This window comes from Homo sapiens, chromosome 1, assembly GCF_000001405.40.
Source record: "Homo sapiens chromosome 1, GRCh38.p14 Primary Assembly".
Taxonomy (NCBI): domain Eukaryota; kingdom Metazoa; phylum Chordata; class Mammalia; order Primates; family Hominidae; genus Homo; species Homo sapiens.
The window spans coordinates 231,560,454-231,584,860 of NC_000001.11; the positions used below are offsets into that span (position 1 = coordinate 231,560,454).

The 24,407-nt window shown below is 39.4% G+C and overlaps 1 protein-coding gene and 1 long non-coding RNA gene across 9 annotated transcripts in view; both read left to right on the top strand.

Annotated features, from left to right (window-relative positions):
• Positions 1–6,071, top strand: part of TSNAX (translin associated factor X) — a 37,856-nt gene extending 31,785 nt beyond the window's left edge. The window contains exons 5-6 of the mRNA NM_005999.3: positions 675–802; positions 4,075–6,071. Coding sequence (NP_005990.1) covers positions 675–802; positions 4,075–4,452 — 506 coding nt within the window. The 3' untranslated portion in view covers positions 4,453–6,071. The remainder of the gene's footprint in view (positions 1–674; positions 803–4,074) is intronic.
• Positions 1–24,407, top strand: part of TSNAX-DISC1 (TSNAX-DISC1 readthrough (NMD candidate)) — a 512,620-nt gene that overhangs the window by 31,801 nt on the left and 456,412 nt on the right. For 5 of the 8 annotated variants that reach the window (NR_028394.1, NR_028395.1, NR_028397.1 and 2 more), the window contains one exon: positions 675–802. The exons of the other annotated variants lie outside the window; for them this stretch is intronic. This is a non-coding gene — a long non-coding RNA (TSNAX-DISC1 readthrough (NMD candidate)). The remainder of the gene's footprint in view (positions 1–674; positions 803–24,407) is intronic. 8 annotated transcript variants of the gene reach the window in all.

Genomic DNA, 24,407 nt, shown 5'->3' on the forward strand with positions numbered 1-24,407 from the left:
CCCCAGGCTGGAGTGCAATGGTGCGGTCTTGGCTCACTGCAACCTTCGGCTCCTGGGTTCAAGCGATTCTCCTGCCTCAGCCTCCCGAGTAGCTGGGATTACGGGCTCCTGCCACCACACCCGGCTAATATTTTTTGTATTTTTAGTAGAGATGGGGTTTCGCCATGTTGGCCAGGATGGTCTCAAACTCCTGACCTCAGGTGATCCGCCCACCTCAGCCTCCCAAAGTGCTGGGATTACAGGCGTGAGCCACCGTGCCCGGCCAGAATAAGCTTTTCTTAAATCCTAATTACTTAAACTCTTAAAAAAATTTTTTTTCTGGCTGGGCACAGTGGCCCAGAGATTACAGGCGCCCGCCACCATGTCCAGCTAATTTTTGTATTTTTAGTAGAGTTGGGGTTTTACTGTGTTGGCCAGGCTGGTCTCCATCTCCTGACCTGAAGTGATCCACCCGCCTTGGCCTTTTAAAGTGCTGGGATTACAGGCGTGAGCCACCGCGCCTGGTCCCCAGGCCATTCTTTCTATTCTAAGTGTCTAGTCTAGTACTGGCATTGTAGTAGGCATCCATTAAGCTTTTTTTTGAACTAGATGATGATCAATATGAAGTTTTTTTATTATGACATTCTTACTAATTAAGTGCTTATTCTTAGTAATTTTCTTTGTCACGCTTTCAGGACTACAGGAATATGTGGAAGCTGTCTCTTTTCAACACTTCATCAAAACACGATCATTAATTAGTATGGATGAAATTAATAAACAATTGATATTTACGACTGAAGACAATGGGAAAGAAAATAAAACTGTGAGAATTTAAAATTTATTTCACATTTGTTATATAATTTATGTAACAGTATGACGATTCTAGTAGATTTACTGGCTTATGCTAAGATTGAGATGGGAATGTTCTTTCTAAAGTATGGTTTTGTAGAGTCTCAACTAGGAAATGGTCTTTTTAAATATTTCAGTTAGTGGATAGAACAAGAACAACTCTGGGCATATTGGGAAAGTAATGCTCTTTACCTAAAGCATTATGGAGTGCTTACTGTAAGTCCTCTTTTGGTTTTACTCTCTATTTTTCACTTGCCCTTTGTAAGCACTGTCTTATTTAATCCTTTTATTAACCATATGTGGTAAGCATTATTACTCTCATTTTACAGAGAAAGAAACAGACTTTTAGAGAGGTTAAGTAACTTGCCAGAAGCCACAACTAAAAAGTGTGGCAGAGCTAAGATTTGAAGTTAGGTATTTTGAATCCAAGCCTGTGCCCTTGTCCACTCTGCCAGCGCTTCTCACAGTGTGCTACAGGGATCCCTTGCATCAGGTACCTACCTCAAAGGGTTGTTTTAAAGGATTTGACTTAAAGGTTATTAATTAGGCAATATACAGCAGCACCTGACACGTAATATACATTATATACAGCACCTGACACGGAAGTGCTCAGTAGTTTGCCATTATAAAGTAGTTTTTATATAGTGAGAGCTGTTAATCATTTACTCAATTCATAATGCTTATATCTGAAATTTATGTAGCTTTTCTGAATTAAGAAAAACTTTGCAGTTTGACTTTTAAACAAATACTATTTTTTTCCTTCTGGGTTTCAAGATATAACAGGCAGTAAGGTAAGCTGTATTGACTATTTGATACTTTCTGAGATACCAGTACACTTAAAATTAAATATTTTAAAATAATTTATATTATTTAAATAATTGTTTAAATATTAAATTATTAAATTATTAATTTAATTTACTAAATATTAAATATTTAATTATTTTAAAAATTTTCTTTATTTTTTCTTTTAAAAATTATTTTTAAAAACACCATATATTAAGGATAGGTAGGCAGGAGATGGAAGACACTGTAGAAATAATATTTTCTTGAATATCAACTAAAATATTAATACAAATGAGACTAATTTGGCATGACAGGTATAACTTACTTTAAGGAAGCCATGTATTAACTTTAAGTTATATGAAGTGTATTAAGGAGGAAATTTATTTTGAGAAGTAAAATTTCTTCATATTTTTTATTCATATAGTGTAGACTGAATTACACAAAGAAGTAAAGTAGGTCTATTTGACCCTGCTTCTCACGTGATATTAGGGAAGTTACCACACTTTCCTTTAAAGTTCTCTGTGTATCAAAATGAAAATATTGGGGAAAAGGCCAGAAAATTGAGAGTCAAAGTACTGTTTTCAGGACTTAGGTACCAGATTATTTTAAGATTATGGGGCTATAATATTCATATACATGTTTCAAATTGTATAAGACTATGTTCATAAATAAGTTTTAGTGCTAAAGATGCTTGGTGCTGAAATTTCTGGGAATTTGATTGGGAAAGGTATTTTGCTCTGACTTGCCTGTTGAGAATATTGTCAAAACTATTTAATTTTTATTTTAAAAAGTTTTGTGAAAAATTTCAAACATGCAGAAAAATAGAATGGAAACATTAGTGCCACTAACTAGCTATCATATTCCCATAGCTCAACGTCATATTACCTGTGATGTTTCTCGGACCTCATTTCTCATGCTAAATGATGAGGACGTTGCACCAAATGGTCTCTGCAGAGTCCAAACAGTGCTAGGATTCAAGTATTAGATACATAGCAAAGAGTGATCTTAATAAAGCTGTCTCCCTTGTCTCAGCTTATATTTATGTAACTTCCTTTAAACTTTACTCAAAAGAATTATCTCATTAGTTCCTCAAATGCACAATTCTTACCTGTATGCCTTTGTAGTTCCCACTACCTAAAATGTCCTTTGATGTAACTGCAACTTCACCTACCCTTTTATACATACCGTCTTTTAATAACAATTTAGGCATCGTCTCTACCAGAAAGAATTCAGTAGAGGGAAATTGATGTGGAGAGAGATTTCATGATGATATCATGATAGCAGCTAGCATTTGTTGAATATTTACTTTGTGTTGGGCATTATGCCAAGAACTTGGTAAATGTTCTCATTTAACCCTTAAAATAAACCTCTGAGGTAGGTACTGTTATCCCATTTTACAGATGAGGAAACTGAGGTTTAGAGAGATGAAATAACTTGCCCAAGGGCATACACCTTATGAAGCAAGGTCCTGGAAGAGGTGGGAGGAGATGGGTCAAGGTCATTTGGAAGAGTTAACCTCAAACAAGAGGAGGGACAACTCATCATCTGAGACTGGAGGATAGAAGGTAAAGATGGGTGTGGATATAAATTTTTTTTTTTTTTTTTTTTGGTAGGGATAAAGGCAGTTGTGAGAAATTGTGCTAGGTAAGCTGGCAAATGACCAGGTCACTGAAATTGGGCAAGGTTGTCTACTGAAAGTGAAGAGGTTTGGGATTTGAGTAGAGCCCTGAGGAGAGTGGTGAAAGGTTTGAAATTGTGTTTGAAGAGGCTGGAAAGAGAACCATCTAATGATAAGTAAAAGGATTGGAGAGTAATTTGTAGCGGTACAGACTCTGCAGTTGTGATTACCATTTTTTTTTAACTCAGTGAGTGGTACTCAGCCACCTGAATAAAGGACTAATGAGTATATTTTAGTATTGATTGAGGATTCTGTTTTTGCTGGGTAGGTGCAGTAGAAAATATAGCAGTCTAAGGGAATTGAGGATGCAGTGAGAGAATAATAAATTGTGATGGTGAGTGCTGAATAGGGAAAGACAAGAAGCCAGAAAAAGACTGAGCTTCTTAGGAAAACATTAATGGATCACAAACTTGGAGGGCTGTATGGTTTTTCATTTAAGAAAGTAATTGTCGTGCAATAAAGTTATTAAGCCTTGTTCAAGAATATTTTTATTTTGTACATCAAGTGGAGTTGGAAATAGTTGGTTTCATAATGATATATTTCAAAAGTATCTTGAAGTCATCTGGTTCATTTCACTACCCAGGGCACACATTCCTCCTGTAACATCCCAAGTGGTTATTAAGCAAAACAGATTTATTTTATTTAGAAAAAATTAGTATGACTGATTTGCTATTGATTTTGTACTTCTATAATAAATGTGATACATGCTATATTCACTCTTTTTCACAGTGTTCTTTCTTGTGTGTGTGTGTGTGTGTTTTTGTTTTGTTTTGTTTTTTTACCAGCCCTCCTCTGATGCACAGGATAAGCAGTTTGGTACTTGGAGACTGAGAGTCACACCTGTCGATTACCTTCTGGGAGTGGCTGACTTAACTGGAGAATTGATGCGGATGTGTATTAACAGTGTGGGGAATGGGGACATTGATACCCCCTTTGAAGTGAGCCAGTTTTTACGTCAGGTTTATGATGGGTTTTCATTCATTGGCAACACTGGACCTTACGAGGTTTCTAAGAAGCTGTATACCTTGAAACAAAGTTTGGCCAAAGTGGAGAATGCTTGTTATGCCTTGAAAGTCAGAGGGTCAGAAATTCCAAAACATATGTTGGCAGATGTGTTTTCAGTTAAAACAGAAATGATAGATCAAGAAGAGGGCATTTCTTAGAATCTAACGTTACTCAGTTACTAATTCTTTTGAGAACTCCTAAGAGACCAATTTGTAAGACTTATTTAGTATTTCATTTAACTTTATTGTGGCTTTTACATAGAAACATATTCAGTTGTACTTGTTTTAAATTGTATACAAGCTGTACATAAAATTAGCCAAATGAATCATTTCTTATATCTTATTCATGAAAGTTTGCATACAGATGTTTGCATATATGCCTTTTTGAATTTTTGCTGGTTAACCTTTATCATTTATCTTTGTAATGTGAACATGCTTCAGAGTGTACCTTTTGCCATAACCTATTTTAATTTACTTTTTCTGAAGTTTGGAGTGATAATTTTTAGTGGAAGCAATTTGTAATTTAAGTTGGTAGTTATATTATATATAGAAAAGATTTTTTAGTTAAACTTCTGGACATGAGCGTCCTGTTTAAATTTCTTGTTAATATCGTGCCAAGCCTCAAAAATAGGCTTATTCCATGGAACAAGAATTAAAAATGAATAAGCTATCAATATATAATTTAAGTACAAGTTTAGGCTGGGCGTGGTGGCTCACGCCTGTAATCCCAGCACTTTGGGAGGCCGAGGTAGGCAGATCACGAGGTCAAGAGATCAAGACCAGCCTGACCAACGTGGCGAAACCTCGTCTCTACTAGAAATACAAAAATTAGCTGGATATGGTGGTATGTGCCTGTAATCCCAGCTACTTGGGAGGCTGAGGCAGGAGACTCGCTTGAACCTGGGAGGCAGAGGTTGCAGTGAGCCGAGATTGCGCCACTGCACTCCAGCCTGGGTAACAGAGCAAGACTCCATCTCAAAAAAAGAAAGAAAGAAAAAAGAAAGTACAAGTTTATAAAGTATTATAGTGAAAAATTCGCATTCTGGCTGATTTTAAGCCATTTAAAATTTATATAAAACAACCTTCCATAAAAATTTGACAGGTGCCCAGATGTTGCTTTCTCCATTTATTTTTTGTTTTTTTTTAATCACAGTAGGTCTGATAGAGAATTGGAGCTAAATTATAATATTTTTGTTGGTAAAGTTGAGTTATATACTTGTACATACAATGGAAATGCTTTTAGTAGTGATTATTTAGCAATTTTTGTTTTTGTTATATTAGGCATGTTTGGAGGCTTTCCTATTCTAGCATTTAAATTTAAATTTTATTAAAATTAAATAATTTAAATCTAGCATTTAAATTTAAATAATTTAAGTCTAGCATTTACTTTTAAATAATTATAATGAAGTTTTGAAATACTAAGTTAATCCAGACCTTTAGTTGTCCCATGGTGTTAATAAAGTTGCCAAAGAAGATGTATTATGAACAATTCAGCAATAAGACAATTGTCAACACAGTTGAGAATAACAATGGTAATCGTTAGTAATATTTAGAATTGGAATTTGCCTACTGAAATAGTTATAGATGATTACTTGTGATGTGAAACTGAATTGAGCATGACAACCAGACATTTCCAGTTGGTTTTGTAAGTTTTGAGAATCTAGATACTGGGTTTTATTTTTTGAAAGATTAGCTCTGTTTGTAAGGGCTGATTCCTTGAAAATGTAATTTTCCAGAAAAACACCTAAAGAAAATAAAACATGGACATGCCTAGTAAATTCTGTTTTTTTGTTTGTTCGTGTTAGTGATGGTGGGTTTTTTGGTTTTGCAACTCACCTGTAGTCAACTCACTACAGGTGAGTTGGTGCCATTGCTACTGATATATCTCCACAGTTCATGTCATACTAATACTGTGGGTGTTACGCCAACTCTGAGTCTCACTTTTAAAAATACTTACTATGATGGCATCATGTGTGGTAACAGTTTTCATCTTTAATAGAAAAAGAAACTGGTTCTAGGTCACATGGTAAGTTACTGACAAAATTCTGAAAGAATATTGGGTTCTTTCATAAATAATTTCCAGCATGTATTACATCAGTGAATTTTTTTATTTTTTTAGACTTAGTCTCTCTCTATTGCCCAGACTGGAGTGCAGTGGCATGATCTTGGCTCACTTCAGCCTCCACTTCCTGGGTTCAAGCGATTTTCCTTCCTCAGCCTCCCGAGTAGCTGGGATTACAAGCACATGCCACCATGCCTGGCTAATTTTCTATTTTTAGTAGAGATGGCATTTTCATCATGTTGGCCAGGTTGGTCTCAAACACCTGACCTCAAGTGATCCTCTCACTTCAGCCTCCCAAAGTGCTGGGATTACAGGCGTGAGCCACTGCGCGCAGCCTACATCAGTGATTTTTAAAGTACACATTGAGTGCGCTGGGGCTTTTTGAAGGTGTCTCAAAGAAAGATGATATTTAAATTAGATTGGCAGAACAGATTTGAAAATTCAGTCCCTTTATGTCTACATAAGAGTTACTTTAGATTCAGACACACAAGTAGATTGAAAGTAAAAGGATGGAAAAAGATACTCCATGCAAACAATAACCGAAAGAGAGCTAGAGTGGTTATATGAATAATATCCAACAAAATAGACTTCAAGAAAATTATTTTTTGCCAGAAACAACATACAATAAAACACTCAACCCATCAAGAATACGTACCAATTATATACGTGTGTATATACGTGTACACACATATTTCTAACAGAGCCCCAAAATACATAAAGCAAAATTTAAGTGGAGAGAAATAGACAATTCAACAGTAATCATTGTAGATTTCAGTACCCCACTTCCAATGGCTAGGACACCATGACAGAAGATCAGTAAGGAACTTGAACCACTCTGTAGACCAATTGGATTTAACAGACATATATACAGAACACTCCACTGAACAGCAGAATGCATATTTTTCTCAAGTGCACATGAAACATTCTTTGCAAAATTTCAGACCACAAAACATCTCAATAAACTTAAAAATACTGAAATCATACAAAATGTGTTCTCTTACCACAATGGAATGAAACTATAAATCAATAGAAGGAAAGTGGTATAATTTACTAATAGGTGGAAGTTAAACAATGTACTCCTAAGTAACCAGTGGATCAAAGATGAAATCACAGGGAAATTAGAAAATACTTGGGGGTGAATGGAAAGAAAAAGTTGATATACAATAGCATATGGGATGCAGTGGAGCTGTGTTGAGATAGAACTTTATAGCTTTAAATGCCTGCATTTAAAGAAGGTTTCAAATTAATAAGCTAAACTTCAGCCTTAAGAAATTAGAAAAAGAAGGGCAAAGTAAACCACAAAAGAAGCAGAAGAAAGGTAATAAAGATTTTAGCAGAAATACGAAATACAGAAGAGAAAAACAATTGAGGGCTGGGTGTGGCAGCTCACACCTGTAATCCCAGCACTTGGGAGGCCGAGGCCGGTGGATCACCTGAGGTCAGGAGCTCGAGACCAGTCTGGCCAACATGGCGACACCTTGTCTCTACTAAAAAATACAAAAGTTAGTTGGGTGTGGTGGCATGTGCCTGTATTCCTAGCTACTTGGGAGGCTGAGGCAGGAGAATCTCTTGAACCCAGGAGGCGGAGGTTGCAGTGAGCCACTGCACTCCAGCCTGGGTGACAGAGCGAGACTCCATCCAAAAATAATAATAATAAATAATTGAGAATAGCAACAAAACCAAAAGTTGACTCTTCGTGAAGATCAACAAAATTAACCTTTGGCTAAACTGATGAAGAGAAAAAGACTCAAATTACTAAGATCAGGAATGAACGAGGGAACGTTACTACCAACCATACAGAAGTAAAAATGGGCAGTGGTGCGATCTCGGCTCACTGCAACCTCCGCCTTCTGGGTTCAAGCAATCCTCCTGTCTCAGCCTCCCTAGTAGCTGGGAATACAGGTGCACACCACTACACCCTGCTAGTTTTTGTATTTTTAGTAGAGATGGGGTTTCACCATATTGGTCAGGCTAGTCTCGAGCTCCTGACCTCAGGTGATCCACCCGTCTCGGCCTCCCAAAGGGCTGGGATAACAGGTATGAGTCACCACACCCAGCCTTCTTTTCTTTTTTGTAGAGACAAGGTCTTGCTATGTTGCCCAGGCTGGTCTCAGACCCCCAAGCTCAAGTGATCCTCTTGCCACAGCCTCCCAGGAATATACTTCATTCAATAGACTATACCCACAATTATATATAATGCATAATCATATGTGATTATATTTTGCATATAATGTAAGGAGATTCATGGATCCTCTGAAATTCATCTATGGATGCTCTAAAACTATGTTGCTGGAACCCAGATTAAGAACCCTTGTCTCAGCCTCCCGAGTAGCTGGGACTACAGGCGCACACCACTACACCCTGCTAGTTTTTGTATTTTTAGTAGAGGTGGGGTTTCACCATGTTGTGCAGGCTGGTCTTGAACTCCTGACCTCAGGTGATCCACCCACCTCAGCCTCCCAAAGTGCTGGGATTACAGGCGTGAGCCACCGTCCCCAGCGTTAGAGTGTTTCTCTATAGAGAAACATTCATGGCTTTCATATCTTTCTGAAATGGATTTTTGACTTAAGACTTAAGAATCACCTGGTATAGATTGTATTAGGGTTAGGGTTCTCTAGAAGGACAGAACTAATGGAATATATATATATAGAGAGAGAGAGAGAGAGTTAAGTATTAACTCACACGATCACAAGATCCCACAATAGACCGTCTGCAGGATGAGGAGCAGGGAGAGCCAATCTGTGTTCCAAAACTGAAGAACTTGGAGTCCAATGTTCAAGGGTGAGAAGCATCCAGTACAACAGAAAAGATGTAGGCTGGGAGGCTAGGCCAGTCTCTCCTTTCACATTTTTCTGCCTGCTTATATTCTAGCCGAGCTAGCAGCTGATTAGATGGTGCCCACCCAGATTTAAGGGTGGGTCTGCCTTTCCCAGCCACTGACTGAAATGTTACTCTCCTTTGGCAACACCCCCACAGACACACCCAAGATCAATACTTTGTAATCTTCAATCCAATCAAGTTGACATTCAGTATTAGCCATCACATAGATGATTTCTTAAGGTCCCATGCACCATCAAAGGCTTTCCAAACCTATTAGGATTTTAACTAGATGAAGCAGTTCTCAGGATTTATGTAGCATTTGGATTTTCTTTTGTATGTTTTTAAGACAATGAATGAAGTTCTCTTGAACGAGTGTTCCATAGTTGTAGCACCTCATTCCCCTAAAGTTCTCATTTTATAGAGTCACACTGATTTTAATTCAGAGATTACATATTCTGATTTTCTATCTATATATAATTGTATGTCTCAAGAAAAAAATTTTTTTTTTGCCTTTGCAGAATAAAAGGACTATCTATAGTTAATTTTTAGTTATATCATCTTCAGATTTTAAGATAAAAGTCATCCTTACTGGTCTACTTTTTTTCTGGGAAGGTCTTGTTTGTAACCATTGTCAATGATCTTTTGAATAATATAAGCAGTTGCATTTTCCAAATCCTAACTGTTGCTTTAAGAAACATGACAGAGGCATTATTCACAATAGCAAAGACTTCGAACCAACCCAAATGTCCAACAATGATAGACTGGATTAAGAAAATGTGGCACATATACACCATGGAATACTATGCAGCCATAAAAAATGATGAGTTCATGTCCTTTGTAGGGACATGGATGAAATTGGAAATCATCATTCTCAGTAAACTATCGCAAGAACAAAAAACCAAACACCGCATATTCTCATAGGTGGGAACTGAACAATGAGATCACATGGTCACAGGAAGGGGAATATCACACTCTGGGAACTGTGGTGGGGTGGGGGGAGGGGGGAGGGATAGCATTGGGAGATATACCTAATGGTAGATGACGAGTTAGTGGGTGCAGCACACCAGCATGGCACATGTATACATATGTAACTAACCTGCACAATGTGCACATGTACGTAAAACTTAAAGTATAAAAAAAAAAAAAGAAAGAAACATGACAGAACAATATCTGGGTGACATAAAAACACAGAACTCAAAATACAAAACTTTTTTCCATATCCATAATGCCCACAAAAGCCTCTAAGGCTGCCTTTGTCTACCTGATATCACACACACACATGCACACACACAGGAGTTTCTCTGGGACACTTCTTAGTACTTCATGTATGGAGGTAAAATGGATAAAAGACTAGCAACACCAAACAGGCAGAATCCTAATGGCACTGCCTCTTCAGGAATGAAGATTTGGGTCACCCACCAGTTAAATAAAACCCTCAATTAACTGAAGTTTTGACTACAGAGAAAGGGAACATAGGATGGGTAGTAGAAGGAAATCATAAATATCAACTATCACCTCAGGAGTAGATGCAGAAACAAGGACATTAGCCACAATGCTTATTTTCTCCTCGCTTTGTAATACGTATATTTTATATATTGGCCATTTGTGTCTTTTCCTCCCTCCCTTTTTACTCTGTTTTTTTTTTGTTTGTTCGTTTTTGTTTTGTTTTGTTTTTTGAGACGGAGTTCACTCTTGTTGTCCAGGCTGGAGTGCAGTGGTGCGATCTCGGCTCACTGCAACCTCCGCCTCCCGGGTTCAAGCGATTCTCCTGCCTCAGCCTCCCAAGTAGCTGGGATTACAGGCATGCGCCACCACGCCCAGCTAATTTTGTATTTTTAGTAGAGACGAGGTTTCTCTGTGTTAGTCAGGCTGGTCTTGAACTCTCGACCTCAGGTGATTCGCCCGCCTCGGCCTCCCAAAGTGCTGGGTTTACAGGCGTGAGCCACCATGCCCGGCTCTGTTGTTTTTATATAGGGTGTTTAGTGTTGGTTAACCTTTTAATTTAGCCTTCAAGTTATAGTATGGCAAAGGCGAGTTGTGTTGCACTAAAAGGAATAAATATCAGAGATGGAGATAGGAACTGACAGGACTTTGTCTGTCTCCTTTAGCAAAAAGTTTATCATGCCCCAATTACGTCACATTAGGTGATGTTTGGAAGTTTAAACCTTGCTAGCAGGGAGTGTATGAGTGCCAAGTAACCAAAAGGATGGACTGTGCTGGGCATTGGCCATTGATACTCAACTTCAGACTTGCTTTCCAAACTCTATTGTAGGAGCTGGAAGCCTGGAAACCACACTTCCTTGATTTTCTTGCTAAGAGGGTTTATTTTCATTCTACTAATGAGAGGCACGTGTACTATTTGGAAGGCAAAAGAGAAACAAGCCCTTATTCCTTCAGCCAGCGGGCAGGCGTATGTAGGCTTGTTCAGACGGCATACGTGAGGTTCTGCAGGACCTTCTGCATTTTGTTAATCACCTGCTTCAGTGCTGCAGGCAGCTGAGATCATCAGCTGTGATTTCCTGCAATTCCTGCGACTTCTTGATTTCCTGCACTCACTGGCAGCTTTCCCTGACCTTCCTTTCCTCCAGCCCTTCCAGTGTTTTGGAAGCACCTGGGTTCAATCCTTTCCTGAGTGTAATACTTGAGTGCCTTCTGTTTTCCTGACTGAATGCTGACAGAGTTTTCAGATATAAAATACAAATGGTTCTTAAGCGTAGGAAAAGATGGCTGATCTCTCTCATAATAAGAGAAATACAGATTTAAACTATATTACCACTTTTATCAGATGGGGTACAGTTTGAAGCTCAAGAACACTCTGTTGACCTGGGAGAAATGGGCACTCATGCTGCTGTGAAAAGTGGAAATCAATGTTGATCTATATGGAGGGATTTTGGCAATATCTACCAAGTGTATTCATACCTTTGTGAATTTATGTATTCAAAAACTACTCATTACAGCATTGTTTCAAGTATCAGAAAGTCTGAAATATAAATATCCTTCCATGGAGAACAAGTTAGATAATTTATGGCATAACTATAAATTAAATGCTGTAAAGCCATTAAAAAGAATGAGACAGGCCAGGCGTGGTGGCTCACACCTGTAAACCCAGCACTTTGGGAGGCCAAGGTGGGAGGATCACCTGAGGTCAGGTGTTTGAGACCAGCCTGGCCAACATAGTGAAACCCCGTTTCTACTAAAAATACAAAAATCAGCCAGGTGTGGTGGCACGCACCTGTAATCCCAGCTTCTCGGGTGGTTGAGGCAGGAGAATCATTTGAACCTGGGAGGTGGAGGTTGCAGTGAGCTGAGATCACGCCATTGCACTCGAGCCTGGGCAACAAGAGCAAAACTCCTTCTCAAAAAAAAAAAATGAGACAGCTCTAAATGTATGGTTATGAAAAGATATCCAAGCTATTTTAACTAAATCAAATTTTGTATATGTCACAACTGTGTGAAAAAAATTAAAAATATGTATGTTTTTAAAACGCACAGAGTATCTCTAGAAAAATACATACAAATTGACAATAGTGTTTGTTGGGTCCCTTTCTTTCAAAAGGGAATCAGTGAGCAAGCCTGAAAATACAGGTGGCACATTTGTTAGGTTTTCTATGATGTAAAGAGCTTAAAACCAAAGATAATGTTGGTATTATTATTATTAATCTTGTTTCAATCTTTTCTAAGGATGATTTGAGATGAAAAAAGATGTAGGTTTGTGAAAGGTAGACCAGAGAAGCCAGAAACTTTGTCTTTTTTTTTTTTTTTTGAGATGGAGTCTTGCTCTGTTGCTGGAGTGCAGTGGTGGGATCTCTGCTCATTGCAACCTCTGCCTCCCTGGTTCAAGCAATTCTCCTGTCTCAGCCTCCCGAATAGCTGGGACTACAGGCGCGTGCCACCACGCCTGGCCAATTTTTTATATTTTTAGTAGAGGTGAGGTTTCACCATGTTAGCCAGGATAGTCTCTATCTCTTGACCTTGTGAGCCACCCCCTCGGCCTCCCAAAGTGCTGGGATTACAGGCGTGAACCACCCCGCCCGGCCCAGAAACTTTAGCAAACAGTGAGAATAGCTGCTGGAATCACTTCCTGATCTTGAGTTAGATCATATGAAGCCTTGTAAGAGACCCACAAGAAATTCATGGTCATGAGCTTACAGTGAGAATACACAGGAAACTTTGTTTCCTAAGTATCCACAACTAGTTGCTTTAAACTTCTTAAAACCACATTTATTTCAGGCTATTTTTAAAGAATTAAAATGTTACGGAATCTGACTCCAACCCTGCCATCTCCAGAGGCAACTACCAACTAGAAATTGAAATATATATTTTTCTGATACACATTTTCGTGTTTTTACTGTATAACTGTCTACCCATTAACAGTTTATGTTTTGTTTGGTTTTAAAATTTACATATAAATAGTGTACATATCTTTTTGCAACTGATTTTTTTCATTCAATATTAGTGTTTTTGAGATTTATATGCATCAATGTGTGTAATTCTAGTTAATCCATTTTAGCTGACAATTCTAGTTAATCCATTTATCAATTTAATTGATAAATCATTTTATCGGTTTATCACTTGCACTCACATAAACTGAAAGACCAGTTTATCAGTTTCCCTTCTGCTGTAATCTGATGTACCCCAGACTACTCTCCCTCCTTTCTGTTGCCCAGGCTGGAGTGCAGTGGCATGATCCCGTCCCACTGCAACTTCTGCCTCCTTGATTGAAGCAATTCTCCTGCCTCAGCCTCCCAAGTAGCTGGGATTACAGGCATGAGCCACCATGGCTCATGGCTAATTTTTCTATTTTTAGTAGAGACGGGGTTTCACCATGTTGGCCAAGCTGGTCCCAAACTCCTGACCTCAAGTGATCCACCTGCTTCCACCTCCCAAAGTGCTGGGATTACAGGCATGAGCCACTGCGCCTGGCCACACTCTTCTTTCTTGATGAGTGTAGCTCCTGCTACTCATTCTCATGATTATACTCAAGACCTTACCATTACCCTGACATTACCAATTCATATTCTCAATTTTATGCATCCATTCTGTTTATCACTTCTCATATTTCAAGTTTAGCCCTTTCCAGTATCCCAGCTTCAACAGTCCTTTGACCCCATTGGGACCTTAACTCCGTTGATCCTATTACCTTTCATCTGCTCATTAACCCCTCTGCAGTCTCTTTTATAACCTAGCTTCAATTCCATTGCAGTCATTACCACTCCTTTCATACGTCTTCAACTCCCTTACTCCCCTCTTACTTCATCATACACATTGGAAAAACTACAGCCCAGATTAAATCCATCCTCCAGCTACTCCCTGCCCCTTTGACACTGAAGAAAATAAAGGAAAAATAGACAACCACACTGACTGGCCCCATTTTAACTTTATGACCATGAATTTCTTGTGGGTCTCGAATACTACCTGACCATAATTCTGTGTTTCCTTAGTCTATTCATTCTTCCTCTCTCATTGATGACTATTTCATATTTTACATTGTCTCCTCTTTCATCTAACTCCCATTCCTCCTCCCCACCCTCCCTTTTGGCTAATGGCTAAGAGAATCCAAGTAACAAGGGGGAGAATTTCCACAATCTTATCACATCTACTGACCTACCAACACCTGCACTCACAGACTCTGCCTTCTTGCCTACCAGTATTCGTGCTTTTCTCTAAAGGCAACCTCTCCACTTGTGAATTAGGTCCTACTCTTACCTATTCAAGAACTACTGTAGCAATTCTCACTTCTATCCTGAATGATCATTTTTTTTTCTTTATATTGCAGCTCCCTGCTAGCATATAAACACTTTCATTTTGCCTATCTTAAAACCCTTTTATCTTCCCCTTTTCACTGTCAACTGTCTTCTGTATTTCCTTGCTCCCCTTTGCAACAAAGCCTGAGATATATGTACTTTCCAAATCCGATTCTCCTCTCATTCTCTCTTGAACTCGCTCAGACTTTTGTCTCTTACATTTCATCAGAACTGCTCTTCTCAAGATGTCTTTTATTGTGTAGTCCAGTATTTAAGCTGTTGTCCTTATCTTATTCAACCTGTCAGCAGCATTTGACATGGGTGGCCCTTCCTTCCTCCTTGACACTTTTCCAGTTGCTTCCAGACACCATACTCTTGGTCTTTCTCCTGTCTCACTAGCTGCTTCTCAGTCTCCTTTACTGGTTCCTTCTCATGGCCTTAACCTTCTAATAAGGCTCAATCCTTGAATCTCATCTCTAGCTACATCAGACCCCTTAGTGGTCTTATACAGTCTCATGGATTTAAATACTATCTAGTTGGGAGTGGTGGTGTACCTGCAGTCCCAGCTACTTGGGAAGTTGAGGCAGGAAGATCCCTTGAGCTCAGGAGTTTGAGCCTGTGGTGCACTATGATCTTGCCTGTAAATAGCCATTGTAATCTGGCCTAGGCAACATAGGCCCCATCTCTATTTAAAAAAAAATACTGTCTATACACTGAACAACTCTAGCTCAGATATCTCTTCAAGATGCCTGTCTAATTTCCAATTCAGAACTCAAGATGCCTAATTCCCAATTCAGCATTTTCATATGAATGTGTAGTATACCTGTAAAGTAAACATGTTCAGAACTCAGCTTGTCTTCTCCCCTCAAACCTGCTCCATGGCTGGGCACAGTGGCTCATGCCTGTAATTCCAGCACTTTGGGAGGCCGAGGTGGGTGGATCACCTGACGTCGAGAGCTTGAGACCAGCCTGGCCAACATGGTGAAACCCTGTCTCTACTAAAAATACAAAAATTAGCTGGATGTGGTGGTGCATGCCTGTAATCCCAACTTCTCAGGAAGCTGAGGCAGGAGAATTGCTTGAACCCAGGAGGCAGAGGTTGCAGTGAGCCAATATCCCACCACTGCACTCCAGTGTGGGTGACAGAGCGAGACTCCGTCTCAAAAATAAATAAATAAAAATTTTTAAAAACCCTGCTCCGTGGGTTACACGCTTCTCAGTTGATGGCAACTTCATCCTTCCAGGTGATCAGGCATAATATGAGTTATCCTTGAGTCTTCTCTTTAACTCTCATTCCACATCCAATCTGTCAGGATTTTTATAGGCTCTATATTCAAAATATATCTAGAACCCAACACTGTTGTTATCATTCTGGCCCAAGCCATCACCATTTCTCACTTGAATTACTGCAGTGGCTTCCTGCTTCCATCCTTGCTTCCCCGTAAGTGTAGCCAGAGTGATCCCTTTAACATGCAGTCAGATCACTTTGCTCCTCTGTTTAAACCTCTGTAATGGCTGCTCATTCATTCAGACTAAAAAGCCCACAAGTCCTTACAGTGGCCCACATGACTGTATCATCTACCCCTTGCTCCACTTCATCTTATTGTAACCCTCTCCCCTTGGCTCTCTTCACAGTCTCACCAGCCTCCAGCTTTTGGATCTTTACACAGTCTGGTTCTTCTACCTGGTTTGCTCTTTCCTCCAGATATCTGCACAATAATTCCCTCATCTCTTTTAAGTTTGTGCTGTGTCACCTACTTAATAATGCCTACTTTGATCTTCTAATTTAAATTGTCACTGGCCACCCACTCCCCACCCCACTACTGCCTTACGTATTTGCAGAGGGTGGCATTTACATAGAACATAATATGAATGGTATCCTTGAAGTTGTGGAAAGTAGCTTTCCTGTATTACGTAAGTAATACGTACCATACGTATGTATTAGGCTTATTGTTTGTCTTCTTTAATTAATATGTAACCTCGCCAAGGAGAGGAATGTTTGTCTTTTTTACTCACTGGTGTATCCCAAACATGTTGAATGGTCCCTGGCATATGCGTGCCTAGTGAGTATTTGTAGAATAAATAGACAATTAGATTATGTCCAAGTTATTTATTTATTTATTTATTTATTCATTTATTTATTTATTTTTTGAGACAGAGTCTCGCTCTTTCGCCCAGGCTGGAATGAAGTGGTGTGGTGTGATCTCAACTCACTGCAACCTCTGTCCCCCGGGTTCAAGTGATTCTCCTGCTTCAGCCTCCCAAGTAGCTGGGATTTCAGGCACCTGCCACCATGCTCGGCTAATTTTTTTTTTTTTTTTTTTGGTATTTTTAGTAGAGGTGGGGTTTCACCATGTTGGCCAGGCTGGTCTTGAATTCCTGACCTCAGATGACCCACCCGCCTCAGCCTCCCAAAGTGCTAGGATTACAGGTGTGAGCCACCATGGCTGGCCCAAGTTTTTGATACTATAAACAATACTGAAGTGAGTATCTGTGATGGTTAATTTTATGTGTCCACTTGACTGGATTACGGGCACCCAAGCTTTTGACCAAACATTACTCTGGGTGTGCCTGTGAGGGTGTTCCCAGATGAGATTAGCATTTGGATTGGCAGACTGAATACAGCAGATTGCCCTTCCTAATGTGGGTGGACCTCAGCTCATCAATCGAAGACCCGAATAGAACACAAAAGCTAAGTAAGAGGGAACTCCTCTTCTCTGGCTGCTTGAGACATTGGTCTTTTCTGGCCTTAAGACTCAGACTGGCCGGGCGTGGTGGCTCATGCCTGTAATCCCCACACTTTGGGAGGCTGAGGCAGGTGGATCCCCTGAGGTCAGGAATTCAAGACCAGCCTGGCCAACATGGTGAAACCCCATCTCTACTAAAAATACAAAAAATAGCTGGGCGTGGTGGCGGGTACCTGTAATCCCAGCTACTTTGGGAGGCTGAGGCAGGAGAATCACCTGAACCTGGGAGGCAGAAATTGCAGTGAGCCAAGATCACACCATTGTACTCCAGCTTGGGCAACAAGAGCAAAACTCTGCCTCAAAAAACAAACAAACAAAAAAACTCAGACTGAAACATCAGCTCCTGGGTCTGGAGCCTCGTGGCTTTTAGTATTAATAACATCAGCTATTCTGGTTCTCAGGCCTTTGGACTTGAACAATGGTTCTCCTGGGTCTCCAGCCTGCCACCTGCCTATCTTGGGACTTCTCAACCTCTGTAATCCTGTGAGCCAATTCCTTATAATTAAACACACACACACACACACACACACACACACACACTCTCTCTCTCTCTCTCTCTCTCTCTCTCTCTATTGGTTCTGGTTCTGTTTCTCTGGAGAACTCTGGGTAATACAATATCTTTGGCTTATCTCCTTGTGTACCTATGTAAGAATTTCTCTAGGAAGATTATGAAGGAGTGAAGTTGCTTGGTCTTAGGGGTATACGTATGTTCCACTTTATTAGATATTGCCAAAGTGCTTTTACCAATCTAAGCTTTCTTCTACAACTGTCTAATAGTTTATGTTTCCACATAATTTTGTGAGTCCTGATGGTCAATCTAATGGATTTTTAATGGTTTTTTTTTTTTTTTTGGGAAACAGGGTCTCGCTCTGTTGCCCAGGCTGGAGCGCAGTGGTGTGATCATAGCTCACTGCAGTCTCAGACTCCTGGGCTCAAGCCATCCTCCTGCCTCTACCTACCTAGTAGCTGGGACTATAGGCACAGGCCACTGTGCCTGGCTAATTTTCTTATTTTTTATAGAGATGAAGTCTCACCATGTTGCCCAGGCTAGTCTTGAACTCGTGACGTCAAGTGATCCTCCCGCCTTGGCCTCCCAAAGTGTTGGAATTATGGACTCGAGCCACCACATTTGGCTGACAGTATCGCTTAATTTTTAATTTTCCTACTGCTACTAATTTTACCTATATGAGATCGCATTTTTGTGAGCTAAAACTATCAAGTATTGGCAATTTAATGAGGTTTAATCTAATAGTGAATATCTTTACAATGAAAACTTTTGCCACCCAGATTTTGTCTATATATTACTTGCCCTTATATTCTTGACATTTTTCTATTAGATTGTCTTTCTCCAAACTGCTCTTTCCCCCTTCTCTCCTTTTTGTAGTTCTTTACTGATAGCTTCTCCTGGTCTATGGTTGAGAGTATGTTGTCCTTTTTATAGAGAAATTTTGATGCCACCAAAATTTGGACACCAGTATCCATTACCTGCCACTCTCAATTACCCTTAACCGCCCCCCACCCCCGTGGCCTTAGGCAACAACTAATCGACTTTCTATATGTACATATTTGCCTGTTATGGACATTTCATGTAATGGAATCATAAAATTCCATTCTTTCAATTACTGGGTTCCTGCCATTCTCCTGCCTCAGCCTTCCGAGTAGCTGGGACTACAGCTGCCCACCACGGCGCCCGGCTAATGTTTTTTTATTTTTTAGTAGAGACAGGGTTTCACCGTGTTAGCCAGGATGGTCTCAATCTCCTGACCTCGTGATCCACCCGTCTCGGCCTCCCAAAGTGCTGGGATTACAGGCGTGAGCCACCGTGCCCGGCCTAGCATGTTTCTTTCAGTGAGCATGTTTCAACTAGCATGCTTCTTTCAATTAGCACGTTTTCAAGGTTCATCCATGTTGCAGCGAGTATCAGTGCTTCATTTCTTTTTATTGCCGAGTAATATTCTGTCATATGGATACACCACATTTTCTTTATTCATTCATCAGTTGATGGACATTTGGGTTGTTTCCACTTTTTTGGCTCTTATGAATAATGCTGTGAACATTCATGGGCAGTGTTCTTGTTTATTTTAATAGTTTTTTGTTTGTTTGTTTGTTTTTGAGATGGAGTCTCACTCTTGTTGCCCAGGCTGGAGTGCAATGGCACAATTTCGGCTCACTGCAACCTCCACCTCCCAGGTTCAAGTGATTCTCCTGCCTCAGCCTCCCAAGTAGCTGGGATTACAGGCATGTGCCACCATGCCCGGCTAATTTTTGTATTTTTAGTAGAGACGGGGTTTCTCCATGTTGGTCAGGCTGGTCTTGAACTCCCAACCTCAGGTGATCTGCCAGTCTCAGCCTCCCAAAGTGCTGGGATTACAGGCGTGAGCCGCCGTGCCCAGCCTAGTTTTGTTGTTGTTGTTGTTGTTTGTGTTTTTTTGAGACAGAGTCTCACTCCGTTACCCAGGCTGAAGTGGAGTGGTGATATCTTGGCTCACTGCAACCTCCGCCTCCCTGATTCAAGCAATTCTCGTGCCTCAGCCCCACCAAGTAGCTGGGACTGCAGGCATACGCCACCACACCCAGCTTATTTTTGTATTTTTAGTAGAAACAGAGTTTCACCATTTTGGCGAGGCTGGTCTCGAACTCCTGACCTCAAGTGATCCACCTGCCTTGGCCTCCCAAAGTCCTGGAATTACAGGCGTAAGCTACCACCCCTGGCCTATTCTAATAGTTTTTTTTTTTTAAAGCAGATTCCTTAGGGTTTACTACATACAAAATCATGTCATCTGCAAATACAGATAGCTTTACTTCCTTTCCAATCTTGATGCCTTTTATTTTTGTCTCTAACCTAATTGCTCTGTCTAGAACCTCCAGTACAATGTTGAACAGAAGTGGCAAAAGCAGGCATCCTTGTCTTGTTCCTGATCTTAGGGAGAAAGCTTTTAGTCTTTTAATTATGATGTTATCTGTGGGTTTTTCATAGATACCCTTTATCAGGTTGAGGAAGTTCCCTTCCGGTCCTAGTTAGTTGAGCATTTTATCATGAAAGACTGTTGGATTTTTTTTTAATTTGAATATGATTTTACTGAAGCATACATCATTTCAAAGCAAAATTAGTTTATGTTGTCAATTCTAACATATAATACATTTAAGTCATTATATGAATTTCATTTTTTGTGTATTTCACTGTAGTGCTGTGACAACAAAATGACATCTGTGTCCCAGAGCATACATATATCAACAGTAAGATGTAATTTTTCATTACATCACTGCTAGAATATTTAGCTTTGTGTAGGAGACCTAAGCATGTAAGATGGCCACACTAAATAATTTTCTGTTTTTTTCCTTAGGTAATCTTAATTTTTTATCAGTAATACTTTATAGCTGTTAGTTGTGCATTGGCAGTATAAAAGCTAATATATACTGTATGGTCTTGCAACAGTTTTAAAGCCTCTGCATAACTGATAATAAAAATGCATGACATTTTTGTTTTTAATAGACTTTTAAAATTATAGTTTTAGGTTTAACACATAGATCTTTGTACACTTGACTTTTTGACATAGCAAGGCCAAAAATAACTTTCTGAATATTTTTTTCTTGTGTATAAGTGGAAAGGGCATTTTTCACATATAAGTGGGCTAACCAATATTTTCAAAAGAACTTCATCATTGTGCAACTAACAACAGTAACTAGCCCTTAATTATGGTGACAGTTCCTTATTGGTGTGTGTGAGATTACTCTAGCAGCTATTACAGTATAACACAGATGATCTTCACACACCCCATCACCCAGATAATTTACAGTTCTGAAAGATTGTTGGATTTTATCATGTGCTTCTGCATCTGTTGCAATGATCATACAGTTTTTGTCCTTTCTTCTCTTGACATGGGATATTCAAATATCACATGACTGGGATCAATTTCACTTGGTCATGACGTATAATCCTTTTTATGTGCTGGATTCAGTTTGCTAGTATGTTGTTGAGGATTTTTGTGTTAGTATTCATCTTTGTCTGGTTTGTTATCAGGGAATACTGACCTCATCTCCACCTTGCCTTCAACTGTGAGCAGCTGCTTTGTTAATTAACGTGCATCCCAATCTGTATTCCTTCCATGTTGCTAAGGGATTTGCTTTTCTTTCTATTTTCCTTGTATCTGTTATTTCTTTGTGTTTATAGTATGTGGCATTGTACTTTAGGTCATTTTTCCATGTTGCCAGATCTGATAGTCAAATTTTTGAAAGAAAAATATTTTTTGCTTAATTTTTATATGCACATTATAGAAAAACCTAGAGGCAAAAAAAAAAAAACTTTTATAATTCTGCTTACAGAGATAACTACTGTTAGCATTATGTTTACTCCATGTCTTTCTAATCTCATTTCTGTGTGTGTGTGTGTACAGGTATATATGCACATGTATAAATACAGCTAAACTAAAGAGGAATTGATGCCTTTTATACTATATTATATTATTTTATTATTATTATTTTTGAGATGGAGTCTCGCTCTGTCACCCAGGCTGGAGGGCAGTGGCATGATCTCGGCTCACTTCACTGCAACCTCTGCCTCCTGGGTTCAAGCGATTCTCCTGCCTCAGCCTCCTGAGTAGCTGGGATTATAGGCACGCACCACCATGCCTGGCTAATTTTTGTATTTTTAGTAGAGATGGGGTTTCACCATGTTGGCCAGGCCAGTCTCAAACTCCTGACCTCAGGTGATCCATCTGCCTCGGCCTCCCAAAGTGCTGGGATTACAGGCGTGAGTCACCATGCCCGGCCTGTACTATCTTATAACATGACTTTTTTCACTAAAGATATTGTCAAAACATTTACGTGTTAATCAGTGTATTCCTACCAGGTGATTTTTAATAGCTACAAAGTATCCCATCATGGTTCTATAATGCAATTTATTCACCCATCTCTGTTGTTGCATATTTAAGGGTTATTTTTTAAAAGTTTGTTTTTATAAACAACACTGACACACGTCCTTGAAACTGCATCTTTGCCTCCATCTATGTTTGTTTCCTTAGTATAAATTGCTGACAGTAGAATACCTAGGTCTTATGAATGTTTTTGGTATTTACTGAAAAATTGAGTTGATTTCTTCTGGAACAATTATCAACCAGATTCCTTTTTAAAAAATTCTGATTCAGTTATGTAAGCTCTACATGGTGTGAAATGGATTTATATGTGTCTCTTCCCAGGGCTGTAGGCATTGCGCTGTAATTTTCTGCTAAGGTTACTAAGAGGTAGTCTCTGGTGCGACTTTCCTACCTACCGTAGTTCATACGTGCTCTGAAGTATTAGTACGTGCACCAAAGGAGAAAGTTTCTCTATGATGACTTTTCAACATGAAAAATAAAGTGTAGATGCCTCACATCATTTATCTGCTCCATTTACCAGCACCCAGCCTCATCCTGCCTCAGCGAACTTAATAAGATTAACAGATGTCATTTCTTTAATCTTCATTAGAATACTGTCAGGTAACAGCGTCATTCTGGGGTTACCAGAACTGAGGCATAGAACACTGATGAGAGGGACTAAAATCACGGGAAAACATTCCTCAGGCCTTGCAACTTCCAATATAGTCAATCCATACTTTTCTCAAGTAGTTTTTTTTTTTTTTTTAACAGAGTACTACATCAGAAGCCTTCAAAATGGAATTGGTTTATTATTCAAATATTCTATTTCATAAATTATAAATTATGTAAAATATGGCCATCATTCTTGCTTCAAAGCACTGAAAAGAGACATGATAAGATTCTAAGAAATTATCATTAATGTTATTAAGTTTCACAATGGCATTATGATTATGTATGGATGTGGACATAATTTTTACATATGCATATTGAAGTATATAGGTGGAAAACCATGAAGTCTGATATTTGCTTTAAAATTCAGTGGGGAGGGAGAGAAGGAGAGAAGGTTGGATGGATAGTTGAAGCAAGTATGGCAGAATTTGTTGAATTTGTGTGTTGGGTTGATGGCTCATTGTACTATTCTTCTTTTGTGAACATTTGGCGTTTTTCATAATTTAATAAAAGGTGTTTCCTTTAAGTTGGGGAGAGAGGAAGAAAGGGTAGAAAGAGAGGAAAGAGAGAGGGAGAAAGAGAAGACAAAGAGACACTCACAGAGAATCCTGTTGAGACTGAGTCAGTGAGACCAAGTCACAGGAAATCTGTCTGATAAAGGGAAAAACTTGGCTGAAGCTGACTTTGTTATGAATTAGCTTCCTGCTGCCATCTAATGGCACACACGTACTTATGGATATGTATATGTGTATCCATAGACAACACACACACACACACACACATGCGTTTCTATTGCTCAAAGCCTGTATCTATCTGTTTTTAAATTATTTCCCCACATCATAAACATCTTTTAATCTCATCTCATTTACCCTCATCACATTTTTGAGAGAGTAAAAAAAATGTAGGGATGATGCTATCTTTTTATAGACAAAACTGAGGCACTGAGGAGGTAAGTGGCTTTGCCACTTTTGAAAAGCTAGATCGGCTGGGCAGGGTGGCTCATGCCTGTAATCCCAGCACTTTGGGAGGCCGAGGTGGGTGGATCACAAGGTCAGGAGTTTGAGACCAGCCTGACCAACGTGGTGAAACCCCGTCTCTACTAAAAATACAAAAATTAGCTGGACGTAGGGCACATGCCTGTAATCCCAGCTATTCAGGAGGCTGCGGCAGGAGAATCGCTTGACCCTGGGAGGCGAGGTTGCAGTGAGCCGAGATCGCG